Source organism: Homo sapiens, chromosome 9 (assembly GCF_000001405.40).
Source record: "Homo sapiens chromosome 9, GRCh38.p14 Primary Assembly".
Classification (NCBI taxonomy): domain Eukaryota; kingdom Metazoa; phylum Chordata; class Mammalia; order Primates; family Hominidae; genus Homo; species Homo sapiens.
In genome coordinates, this window is record NC_000009.12 from 733,210 (window position 1) to 746,123 (window position 12,914).

The window sequence follows — 12,914 nt, forward strand, 5'->3', positions numbered from 1 at the left end:
ACCATTAGATAAGGATTTGATGCTCATAAAATAGAGAGTAGAAAAGGTGGAAACTTCAGTATGGTTTTTCAGTATGTGAAATATAAATAGAACATTTCAGAAAACTTACCTCTATTTAATTTGGCAAATGAAAGTTTAACTGCATTAAAACAAGGTAAGTGTTTTTAGTTTATATTTCCAAGTGTTTCACATGGCTTTTTAACAGCTTTGAGATGTAATTTATATACCATATGTCATTTTTTTACTTTTCATATGGGTTAAACACTTGAGTCACCAAATGTGGGTTCAGATGTGTGGTTTACTGGTCAGCACGATGGATATATGGTAATTTGTGGAAAGTCAAGGCAAGAGGATCGCTTGAGCACAGGAGTTTGAGACTAGCCTGGACAATATAGTAAGACCTCATCCCTACAAAAATATCAATTACCTGGGCATGGTGTCACATGCCAGCTGCTCTGGAGGATAAGGTGGGAGGATCACTTGAACCCTGGAGGTTGAGGCTGCAGTGAGCCAGTGCACTCCAGTCTGGGTGACAGAGCAAGACCCTGTCTCAGAAAAAAAGTAATTTGGGTCTCCTTCAACCCCCTTAAAATTAAAAATATTTTTTAAAAACTTAGAACAGGTTGGGCACAGTGGCTCACACCCATAATGCCAATACTTTGGGAGGCTGAGGCAGGCAGGCAGATAGCTTGAGCCCAAGAGTTCGAGACCAGCCTGGGCAACATGGTGAAACCCTGTCTCTACAAATACAAAGCCGGGTGTGGTGGCACACACGTGTAATCCCAGTTACTTGGGAAGCTGAGGTAGGAAGATTGCTTGAGCCTGGGACAGCAAAACTACAGTGAGCCGTGATTGCACCACTGCACTCCAGCCTGGGCAACAGAGTGAGACCTTGTCTCAAAAAAAAAAAAAAAAAAAAAAAAACTTAAAAATGGCAAAAAAAAATCTCTAAATGTTATTCCAGAATGTCATAAAGGCCAATTGGTGAAGCCGAATGTCACCCTCCCAAACAAGGCCTCAATCTCTGGCTGGAGGTGTTGGCTCTGCACAGTGGACGTAACCCTTAGACCCCTAAGGATTTCTGTGCTGCCTCTGCCCAAGCACCTTGTGCCATAATGACCTGCCTGGGCTGGCTTGGGGCCACTTGCCTTTTAAAAATATATTTTTAAAAGTTGAAGCTGCGCAGTGTCCCACCCCTGTAATCCCAGCACTGTGGGAGGCCGAGGCAGGTGGATCACCTGAGGTCAGGAGTTCAAAACCAGCCTGGCCAACATAGTGAAACCCCGTCTCCACTAAAAATACAAAAATTAGCTGGGCCTGGTGGTGCACACCTGTAGTCCCAGCTACTAGGGAGGCTGAGGCAGGAGGATTGCTTGAATCCAGGAGGCGGAGGTTGCAGTGAGCCAAGATCATGCCACTGCACTCCAGCCTGGGCGACAGAGCATGACCCTGTCTCAAAAAAAAAATTAGATATTTGGGTTGAAATAAAAATGATTTTCTTCTTGTGACCAATCGTAACTTGTTTTTTCTCCTTTCAGGTATGAATTAAGTGAAAAGATGTTGTCTGCATGCAACTTACTGAAAAATACTATAAATGACCCCAAAGCTTTGACCAGCAAAGATATGGTGAGTCTGACCTGCAAACACCATCCCCAGTGTGTACAAAGTGCATGAGTGGGTTCATTGTCAAGGCCAGCTGTAGGCTGCCCGAGCTGTTGCTTGCATGCTTTTCTCCTGAACTGTTTCCAGCATGAGTGGGCTGGGTAAACATCATGTGGTCTTGCTCCCTGGATCACACTGCCAGCGTTTCCTTGAGGCCCAACTTCGGACATCCTTTACCCACCCTGGACTTTTCCTGGGGTGGAGGCATCTGTGAGGCGTACACTTGCAGACAGAAAGCAGGGCTAATTGCAGTCAGTCGTCATCTTTCTACATATTTCATTTCTATTTATAGAACAGTAAGATCCAGGGAGCAGCATCCAAGAATTTTTTTTTTAAGTTAGCATATGTTTTTAAAAGAAACCTATCTGAGCCAAGGTCAGCATTCCTTTCAGTTATGAAACTGTATGTTATGCTCTGATGTGGAATGCAGGCGGCCACTATTTTTAAACATAAAAATAACCGCACTTGTCATCTCGCAGTCTAAGAAATTCAGAGCAAACAGCAAAGAGTTTGTGGTTGCCTTAGTGATCATGAATGGTACAACATAGGACACAAGTATTTCTATGGCAATGGTTAATGTGACACCATGGCCAAGAATGACATATTCTCATGTGTCGAAGTTATGTGCACATTCTTTCATAGGCCAGACTAACCCCCTGGTTGACAGCTGTCTTTTTTATTAGTGCATTGAGAAAATGTAGGATCCCCTAAGGATACCGAAATGCACAGATACTCAAGTCCCTTATGTAAAATGGTGTAGTATTTGCATATAAACTATGCATCTACTTTAAATTCTGCCATATATTTTAAATCATTTCTATATCATAATACCTAATACAGGGCCAGGTGCAGTGGCTGACACCTATGATCCCAACACTTCGGGAGGCCGATGCAGGTGGATCACATGAGGTCTGGAGTTCGAGACGAGCTTAGCCAACATGGTGAAACCCTTTCTCTACTAAAAATACAAAAAGTTAGCCAGGCATGGTGGTACACCCGTGTAATCCCAGTTACTCGGGAGTCTGAGGCTGGAGAATTGCTTGCACCCGGGAGGTGGTGGTTGCAGTGAGCCAAGATTGCACCTCTGCACTCAAGCCTGGGTGACAGAGTGAGACTCCATCTGAAAAAAAGCCTGGAGTGCAGTGGCGTGATCTCGGCTCACTGCAAGCTCCGCCTCCCGGGTTCGGGCCATTCTCCTGCCTCACCCTCCCCAGTAGCTGGGACTACCGGCGTCCACCACAACGCCCGGCTAATTTTTTTGTATTTTTAGTAGAGACCGGGTTTCACCGTGTTAGTCAGGATGGTCTCGATCTCCTGACCTCGTGGTCCGCCCATCTTGGCCTCCCAAAGTGCTGGGATTTACAGGCATGACCCACCGCGCCTGGCCTCAAAAACTTAACACAATGTAAATGCTATATAAATAGTTGTTATACTGTATTGTTTTGTATTACATATTTTTTAAATATTTTCACTCTGCCAGTGGTTGAATCTATGGAAATGGAACCTGTAGATACAGAGGGCCAGCTGTACTAAATAAAATTGCTGGTCAAGTCCAGGCACAGTGGCTCACACCTGTAATCCCAGCACTTTGAGAGGCCAAGGCAGTGGATCACTTGAGCCCAGGAGTTCAGTTTGAGACCAGCCTGGGCAACATGGCAAAACCCTGTCTCTACAAAAATTAGCCAGGTATGATGGCATGTACCCATGGTCCTAGCTACTTGGGAGGCTGAGGCAAGAAGATAGCTGGAGGCCCAGGAAGTTCAGGCTGCAGTGCTCCATCATCATGCCACTGCACTCCAGCCTGGGAGACAGAGTGACACCCTCTCAAAAAAAAAAAAAATTCCTAGTCAAGGGGAAACATAGAACTACATATTGAAATTCTTGGATTTGTATTCATGAAAATACCTGGCTATACCCTGGTCACTAGTAAAACCATAAAATCTCACTGCAGGGTCAGTATTTCCCATCAGGTTTAACCTAAACTTAAAACTGGTGCCTTACAACCCCAGATTTTATAGCCATAGTACACTTTTCTTTCACTGTTCTCAAAATACTAGGTTACGTGGCCTTTGGGAAGGATTCTGTTTTCCTGCATCCTCCAAATTGCCGAGCATGGTGTCATCCACACACACTGTGATGGGTACATCTTTTTAACTGAATTTTCATTTGGTGTGAAAGTGTTTAAAGTATTGTGTTGTGAAAAGTAGTGGACGAGTAAACACAATGCCAGGGCTAGATAATCATGTCAGGACACCAGTTATTTAGCAGTAATAGAATTAGAATGACCAGAAGACATAATTTCCCTTCTTTCAGTGTGACAACTCCAGAGAAACAGGAATGTGAATATATACAGAAAAAAAAGGACACTCTTCAAGTGACCCAAAATGTGATTGAAATGGTTAAAACTAAATAATCAGTAGCAGGATGATAAAGAGATGGAAGCTCTATAATCCCAACTCTACCTTTTCTACAGAAAGAGGACTTCTTGGGTTCTGGTGCTTCTGACATAGGCTGTCTTTCTTTGATATATTTTTAAACTTTTAAAGAGTAAGCACAGCAGAAATGAATATTAAACTCATATGAAGGCCCATTGAAAAGACACTGTAGTCATCCTCATCACCAGTACTGACTGCTCAGTCTCCACTGAGCTTCATGTGACCCAGGGTTGAGTTGATCATCCACAAAGCAAGTGCCTTCTTCATGTGTCCACAGCCTAAGGAAGTCAGAGTGGAGCTGATGAGAGAATGAAATTAGTTCCAGACGGGGTTCCCTTTTATTTTCCCTTTCCGTGGTTGAACAGTTGTATTTGGGATTGGGGTGGGAATTGGGTTGGCTATACACGTACGGTCTCCCAACCTAGTGCTGTGCTGAGGAGTTGAAGGAGGTGAGTTTGGTCTGGATAGGAAGGAAGCAGCATAATTCAGTGTAGGCTAGTTAATTTCTTCCTAATTTCTATGAAAATTGTTTGCAAGGCCAGTATGATTACATCATATTAATAGCTTAATAAATGGAGCCAAGCCTGAGTGTTTATTCTCATCACAGAAACTATGAAAGCATGGTATTATCCAGTTTTTCAGATGAGGAAACGGAAGCAGAATAACTTCCCTCGGGTCATAAAGCTTTTAGGTAGCAGAGCCTGCATTTGAAACTCAGTGGTCTGGCTCCAGAGCCTCTGCTTCTGCATGGTGCTGTCTGGTCTCCTTTATAGACATTAGAATCTACACGTCATTTAAAATCAGGAGAAATGTCCCAGTTTGGTGTTTGAAGCTTCTCTTAGGGCTGTTGGTTTTTGAGAGCAGATTCTAACTGCATATATATACTTTGACTATAAAAGGACAGGTTACTTGTGCTTTCAACTAGGTCTCAGAAAGTCTATAAATAGAAGAACTAACGACCACTTGGTGTTTTGGCAGAGGTTCTGTCTGAACACCCTCCAGCACGAGTGGTTCCGCGTGTCCAGTCAGAAGTCAGCCATTCCAGCCATGGTGGGGGACTACATAGCTGCTTTTGAGGCCATTTCCCCAGATGTCCTCCGCTATGTCATCAACTTGGCAGACGGCAACGGCAACACAGCCCTCCATTACAGCGTGTCCCACTCCAACTTCGAGATTGTGAAGCTGCTGTTAGATGCCGGTATGTTGGCTGCCCTTCCACCCTCTCTTCTCTAACAGTACTTGGGTTGTGACTCATCTCAGAGAACCTGGTTGAGCCACTCCTGAATTCTCTGACCATGCTAAAATCCTTTTTATTGCTTTTCCACATGACATGGCAAGAATTTTCTTGAGTCATTCATAAGAGGCTTGAAGTTTAAACAAAACTGGGTGACACAGATTCTAGATCTGTTTTTGAAAGGAGGTTTTGAGGATCTTCTTGCTGCAGTTCAGCTGCATTCAAAAGTGAGAGGTGTATGCCTGGTAAGAAGCATGTCTCACGTTCCCTCCTGAGCTGAATCATGCGGGCTTGGCCGGTTTGCACTCAGGAGGCAGAGTGCTGCTTACAGGCCCAGGGTCACAGCCTTGGTGCGTGTGGACCACTTGATTTGACCTTACTCCATGACTGCTGTCCTTGCAGAAGTGTGTGGTTAGTCAAGATGGGGACTAAGCAAAGCCACCTTAACAGATGGTCAAATGATCACCATTCTCACCAAAATATACTGTTATTGGGGAAACAGCATAGAGCAAAGGGCATGTTATTCTTGTCTCTCAACCATAATAGAATAGTAGAAACTTGTTATCCCAGAATAGAGCCAGTGGACATCTTAGACATGAAGTGAGGGAGGGGCACATACACAGATGGTACCCTCAAGAAACTGTGAGCTTTCAACTTCTTGTTCAAATGGAGCAGCCTGATGCCACATAGACCCCAAGTCTTTTAATTTTTGTAATACATATTTTTATTTCTAGTATGTGACAGAGAAGTCAGAGTATCTCAGTCTGATTAATGAGGATGTAGTGTGAACCTTAGAATATGCAATCATACTGTCCAATTTTCTGAAATTCTGTCTTCATCCACTGTCCAATCTCTTCTGCTCTGTTTTGGGAACTTGGAATTGATGCAGAGAAGAAAGCCAAGCAGATTTATCCTTCCTTTCTCTTATAAGTGTGTTTGTTCCCTCTTTTTGGAGCCATGTTAGGGTATAACTGCTTCCATCTTACAGGAAGGAATTTCAAGCCCCTCCTCTTCAGGCTTTCTAGACTATAAACAGAGCTGGTGATACAGTCAGCCAGAGTGATTGTTTAAACAGAAGTAGATAATATCCAGGGAAGCTGAAAACAAGATTTCACTATCACTCCTGACAGGAACAGCTTAGTATACCCTTAGAAGTTGATAAAACATCTTGGCAAATTAAATAATTTTAATTCCATTGCTGGATGGTTTGGGTTAATCACTTATCTTAATGGTTACTGCTCCCCCTTCTAGGCTGAGATTCTGGCTCCATAAGGTGTAGATCTAGGATGCTTCAGCATCTATGCAGAGCAGAGTCCGCAAAGTCCGAGGTGCTAAGGAGCCCCGAAGCGCACACGAATTCACCTGCTTCTCCTCCACAGGGCCTTTTATTTTCTGCATTAAAAACACCCACTTTTAAAAACATGTCCTTAGTATGGAGTTGTTTGGGATCTTAAGGTAAATGTTCATGGTACCTTTTATTTTCCTTTATGATAGAAACATTCTGAACATTTTAACTTCATATTTGGTCCCACATAAAAGCTGCTTTCTAACACTCACCATTCCGGTCATTTCAGAGAAAGTGCCGAAGGAACTTTTAAATGCCCGAAGGATAATTTTATCCCTGAAGACTCCTTAAGAATTACAAGAATAGAAAAGGTCTGGTTCATCGATTCTGTTAAGGGGACTTAACTGCATTTGTTCTCGACCATAAATTCTGGAGCTGGATGTTATATGATTGGAATTCTGCTTTTCAGGACCCCCGACAGGCCAGAGTAGTAAATTCAGAGTCTCAGAATGAGTAATGTTTGGATAAGTAGGTACCACCCTGTCCAACGTTCCATACGTAAGCGTTTGCAAACACTTCGTTCATGAATAGCTCACTACCTGCTTCACTTTCCTAAACACAGCTGAGTGCCTAGATTCCAAAAATCGTTTATTCTCAAGAGCAACCAGTAGAACAACCACCCTGACTTCCAAGCCATTGCATTTCAGCCACCAGTTGCAAACAAGATACGCTGTGGAAGCTTACCGTTGTTTCTCTTGCTTCAGGTGTCGTGAAATAGGGGGAAAAAAAGTTTTTGGTTTAGTATGAAAACATCTCTCACATTTCCTTCTAAGTCACTCTTGGTCTCCAGCCACCTGGTACCATTTCACTGGGCTCCTGTAAACACCATCCCTTCAGTGGCTTCGTAAGCGGCTGCTATTAGAAGGGGCTGCTTCCTAAGAGACTTTTTTTTTTTTTTTTTTACAGATGTGTGTAATGTGGATCACCAGAACAAGGCAGGCTACACCCCCATCATGTTGGCGGCCCTCGCCGCTGTGGAAGCAGAGAAGGACATGCGGATTGTGGAAGAACTCTTCGGCTGTGGGGATGTGAATGCCAAAGCTAGTCAGGTTAGTGCGCCTGGTTCCTGTGCTCAGGAATGCACCCGTAACCAGCAGACAGGACTGCGGTGGCCATTCTGGCAGAGCAGGCATAGATGCCACGCTTCCACCACAGTGCACTTGTTTGCAGGCCTGCCCTGAGTCCATACACTGCCTGGCACTCCTTGCTGACCAAACATACCAGGGAAATATGGGCTTAAATTTCACACTGGAAACTTCTCCCTCCTTTGCCTTGCCTTTTGTCCATTTGCATAGTTTGCATGGAAATACTGTTAGTTCCCCTACATATAAATGATTGCGCATCCCCATCAGATGCTCAGTGACTGTTGCTTCCTGTCTCTGTGTTGTACTGTCTTCATAGCAAACAGTGTCCCAGGTCCAGATGTGTTCACAGCTTGACTTTTTTTTTTTTAAGAGACGGTCTTGCTCTGTCCCCCAGGCTGGAGTGCAGTGGCGGGATCTTGGCTCACTGCAACCACCCCCGGCTCCCTGGTTGCAGTGATTCTCCTGCCTTAGCCTCCCGAGTAGCAGGGACTAACAGGCACACACCACCACACCTGGCTTTTTTTTTTTTTTTTTTGAGACTAAGTCTCATTCTGTCACCCAGGCTGGAGTGCAGTGGTGCGATCTTGGCTCACTGGAAGCTCTGCCTCCCGGGTTCACACCATTCTCCTGCCTCAGCCTCCCAAGTAGCTGGGACTACAGGCGCCCACCCCCACGTCCGGCTTATTTTTTGTATTTTTAGTAGAGACAAGGTTTCACCGTGTTAGCCAGGATGGTCTTGATCTCCTGACCTCATGATCCACCTGACTCAGCCTCCTGAAGTGCTGGGATTACAGGCGTGAGCTACTGCGCCAGCCCCTGGCTTTTTTTTAAGTAGAGATGGGGTTTCAGTGTTGCCCAAGCTGCTCTTGAACTCCTGAGCTCAGACAATCTGCCTGCCTCAGCCTCCCAAAGTGCTAGGGTTACAGGCGTGACCCACCACTCCAGGCCCACAGCTTGACTTTTAACCACCACCTGAACTTCCAGCCCCTTACTCTACTGAGACATCCTCCACGCTAAAATGAAGTTGGCTCCTTACTTTATGCCCTTCCTTTGCTCATAGCTCATGGGAAGCTGGTTTCTCCCTGCTTGCCACCACCTGCCCCAAGTAGTTCCATCGCCAGTTCTTTCCCTTCTGTCACCACACTCTTCCCCCTTTCCCTAGCACAGCCCCACTAGAGGCCACCACTGCCAGCTCAGTACGTACTTCTGAAGTCCTTGTCATCTCTTCCCATAGGCGGGACAGACGGCCCTCATGCTGGCGGTCAGTCACGGACGGATAGACATGGTGAAGGGCCTTCTGGCCTGTGGGGCTGATGTCAACATCCAGGATGACGAGGGCTCCACGGCCCTCATGTGTGCCAGCGAGCACGGACACGTGGAGATTGTCAAGCTGCTGCTGGCCCAGCCCGGCTGCAACGGTCACCTAGAGGACAACGTAAGCTGTCTCCATTGGGCCTCCTGGCCAGGGGTCTGGGGGACTCTGGACGGGAGCTCTGGGAGTGCCTTTTGGCCAGGAGCGACCAAATCCTCCTCTATTCTCCTCTGGGATTTGTGTCGCCATCTAGGTGCCTCCCTTCACAGCCAAGCTTGGCTACACTTACTGTGTGTGTGCAAACTAACACGCTCATAAACTAGTACCCAAAGCAGAATAAATAGGCCCTACCCCAAAAATTCATGAAATGAAAAAGTGATTTAACGGGCATGTCCAAGAGCCCCTCTACTAAAGGGAAATCAATGGATTTGCACTGCAGAATCAAATTCAGTGTAGGTGACTTCTGACAGGTGCACTTGGAAATCTGGATTATCATTAGAGGCTGGGGTTACACGGTGACTAAAACCAGTTCCTACTATAGTGAACCTTTTCCACCCAAAGTGAACACACTGACCCATCAAAGTGAGTAGCTTGTGACACAACATATGCCAGAGCCTGCAGAGTAGCTTGACTTCTTGAAGCGTTTTCCCATTTCTGCTTAGTCTGTCCCATCAACACCACTCTGCTCTCTTCTCCCAGTTCCCAGGCTGTCCACATTTCCAGATAACTCCTTGACCGGGAAACTCAACCAAAGGGGGTACTTTTGCGTGTCTCTAGGCCAAAGGACAGGAGTGGTGATAGGTAGAAGGTAGGAACTGGCATGTAGGCAGTGAGATGGTGTAAAGGTCACAGAGGTCGGGTTGGCTTGGTTCCGTTTTTGAAAGTTTATCTCTGTGGATCACAGGTTTGGATCAGAGCTTCTTTAGCTCAAAACACCAAAAAGTTAGGAAAATATCCTTTGTAGGTCAGATTCTTCTGGGCCCAAGCCAGTAGGGAGAAAAACCAGCGGAGTTTTTCACTGGTATGAGGGACTGACTAGCTTCACACTCAGCCATCTCCACAGGAGCACATGGAAGCTGCAGCTGTAGCAGATTCCCTTCTTCCCCTCTGTGGGAGGGAGAGCTTCTGACCGACTTCTTTCTTCCAGAAGAGTTTGTTAGCTGTGCTGTGGTTTTTGTTTGATTTTACTTCTATTATCTTTCAAAGCTTTTGAGGGGAAGGATCATAAGATTAAACCAAAGAGAACTGTGTCCTGCTGCTGCTGCTGACCAGAGGGAAATCCGTATTTCAAGACTAGATAGGCTGGGCACAGTGGGTCACTCCTGTAATTCCAGCACCTTGGGAGGCTGAGACAGGAGGATCGCTCGAGCCCAGGAGTTCAAGACCAGCCTGGGCAACATAGTGAGACTCCCATCTCTACAAAAAAAAAATTATCTAGGTGTGGTGGTATGCACCTGTAGTCTCAGATACCGTGGTGGTTGAGGCAGGAGAATCACTTGAGCCCTGGAGGTCAAGGCTACCGTGATCTGTGATCGTGCCACTGCACTGCAGCCTGGGAGACAAACCCTGTCTCAAAAAACACACTAGACAGAAGACAAGTTGTGTTGTTCTTTCCCTTGATACTCCTTTATATCCATTTAAATCCCTGAAATTTAATGGAAATCAAGCAGTTAAGTGAAGCTTTTTTCACCCATATGTAGTGTTTCCCCTCTTATTTCCAGAAGTTGGATCTGTGCAACCCACTGGGATTGCGTGCTTACACACAGATGTTACTTGTAGCCTTAAACCGAGGTGGTTTAGGGTTTTAGGATCACAGTGCCCTCTCTAAGAGGAAAGGTAAAAGATCTTTGGCAAATTGCAGAGTCTCTAAACACACACTACTGCTGCTTGCCTGGTCATTCATAATTAATTAGAAGAAAAAAAAACTTTCTATCCCCATCTTCTGCTTCCCCCTCCTGGTGGGCAGAATGGTTGAGTAAGATAATCCTCTTAACTGGGACCTCTGGAGGGTGGAGGCTTGCCTCATTCATCTTCACATCCTCAGGCCTTCACCCTTAGAGGTCCCAAAAAAGTTTCCCAGAAGACCGAACGAGTAGGGATATTTGGGGAACCTTGCCAATTATTGGAGGGTGTTTTGTTCTGTTACCTTTCGGTTGTCTGGAGGTTTGAGAAACCCAACATGGCTTGTTCTTTCCATCTTATCTTAAGGATGGCAGCACTGCGCTCTCAATCGCCCTGGAAGCAGGACACAAGGACATCGCTGTTCTTCTGTATGCCCATGTCAACTTTGCAAAAGCCCAGTCTCCGGTCAGTGTTGTGCATTTGGCATTTGTAAATAGGCTGAAATCCACCAGACTGGTGGACCCCCTTCCTCCAGGAATTGACGGGAGACAGATTTTATGTTGATTCAGAAAATGGAAGTTTTAGTCTGGAGCTTAAGAGTTCATCCTTTCCGCCTCCACCCCGCAAAAAGCAGGAGAACTAATGTTTTAGCAGAGGCTGGACCTTGCTTGTCCTTGCAAGACATATGCTCACAGCTTCCCATAGAGGTTTTGATTCTGTGCAGAATTATCCAGATAGCAGCCCCTGAGCCCATGGGGATATTTCGCCATGGTTCTGGCATTGTTCCTGAAGCAGATGGCAGGCAGCCTGTAGTCCACAGTTCACTCTGAGTGGGAAGGTGACTTCCCAGGACAGCCGGACATAGCACTGCTGAGCCCAGCTGGCCTTGGAGCTGTGGACACCTGTTCCCTGTTCTCAGCCAGAGCTCTCCTGGCTCGGGCTCACAGCTGCTTGTTGCCTGTGGTGGGCCAAGATCCTATGTCACAGGGTACACATCTGCCTGAGGTCACTTATTAACCCCCAGTTTTTTTCCTTTCCTGGTCTCTAGGGCACCCCTAGGCTTGGAAGGAAGACGTCTCCTGGCCCCACCCACCGAGGTTCATTTGATTGATTGTATGCAAATAGCCCTTTATTTACATGCCACTATTAAGCTGCTAATTGTTCCTGTTGGGGTGACAGATACTGAATGTATACGTATTGTGCCTGAGCTCACCAGCAAACAGAAGCATCAAGCCCAGGGGTAAAGGCTGAAGCTTTCACAGTGCAGAGACTGCTAGCCTGGGCACACACACCTCCTTTCTGGCCGTCTTCTGTGTAGGGCACACTTTAACCCAGTCTCTGTTGCTGTTGAGTCTCTGCTCCGTTTTGTACAGTCACAGGGAATTCTGATCTGAAGGGGCACCTTCTGTTCACTCCCACAAAGTGGTGTCTGGTTCTCACTGAGACGTTTTAAGATTTTTCCACAAATATTTATATGTACTAAATGTGGAACCATTAGAAAGTTCTTCCAAAATCTCATTCCAGCATAGTTTTGGATTTTTCTTTTGTCTTATTTTAAAATAAGGAAGTCGAGATGACTTTGATCATTGGTAACTTGGGCCTGGGCCAGACAAAGTATAAAACTTACAAAAGAATATTCTCATTTGGTCTTAACTAGGTAGATGTAATATATGACTTTTTATAAAAAGGGTATCTATATGAACTTGACACAGTATTTTCAGCTTTTGTATTCCATACTAAAGCCATGAAGAACTACACGTAACATCATCATTTGTATTAATTGCACAACTCCAATGCTAAAGGTTGGATTGTGTTAGAGGAATCGGCTCTGTATTTGCCTCTAGAGAAACACAGTGTTCTCTTTGTATTTATGGATTCCTTTTTACCGTGTCACATTTACTTTGGTCCTCTATGTATTTAAATGTTTGAAGTGCCTTAGACTCTTGCCATATTTTCAAAATAAAATTCCATTAAGCTCTTTTCCTTGTCCCTGTTTCAT

General features: G+C 45.4%; 1 protein-coding gene across 63 annotated transcripts in view, besides 1 other annotated feature; it reads left to right on the forward strand.

The window, feature by feature from the left end:
- Window positions 1–12,894, forward strand: part of KANK1 (KN motif and ankyrin repeat domains 1) — a 275,809-nt gene extending 262,915 nt beyond the window's left edge. For 61 of the 63 annotated variants that reach the window (XM_047423041.1, XM_047423067.1, XM_047423060.1 and 58 more), the window contains 6 exons: window positions 1,539–1,626; window positions 5,076–5,295; window positions 7,583–7,725; window positions 8,996–9,196; window positions 11,282–11,380; window positions 11,964–12,894. In XM_047423041.1, coding sequence (XP_047278997.1) covers window positions 1,539–1,626; window positions 5,076–5,295; window positions 7,583–7,725; window positions 8,996–9,196; window positions 11,282–11,380; window positions 11,964–12,026 — 814 coding nt within the window. In that variant the 3' untranslated portion in view covers window positions 12,027–12,894. Of the gene's footprint in view, window positions 1–1,538; window positions 1,627–3,142; window positions 3,349–5,075; window positions 5,296–7,582; window positions 7,726–8,995; window positions 9,197–11,281; window positions 11,381–11,963 lie in introns of those variants that run through there. The other 2 variants (NR_148869.2, XM_047423079.1) reach the window with 2 other exon arrangements.
- Window positions 4,680–5,879: an enhancer, noted in NCBI's record as "MED14-independent group 3 enhancer chr9:737889-739088 (GRCh37/hg19 assembly coordinates)". NCBI's record gives its function as "activates an origin of replication core promoter dependent on BRD2, BRD4, P300/CBP and CDK7 cofactors, and independent of MED14, by STARR-seq in HCT116 cells {active_cell/tissue: HCT116}" and the evidence as "EXISTENCE:reporter gene assay evidence [ECO:0000049][PMID:35650434]".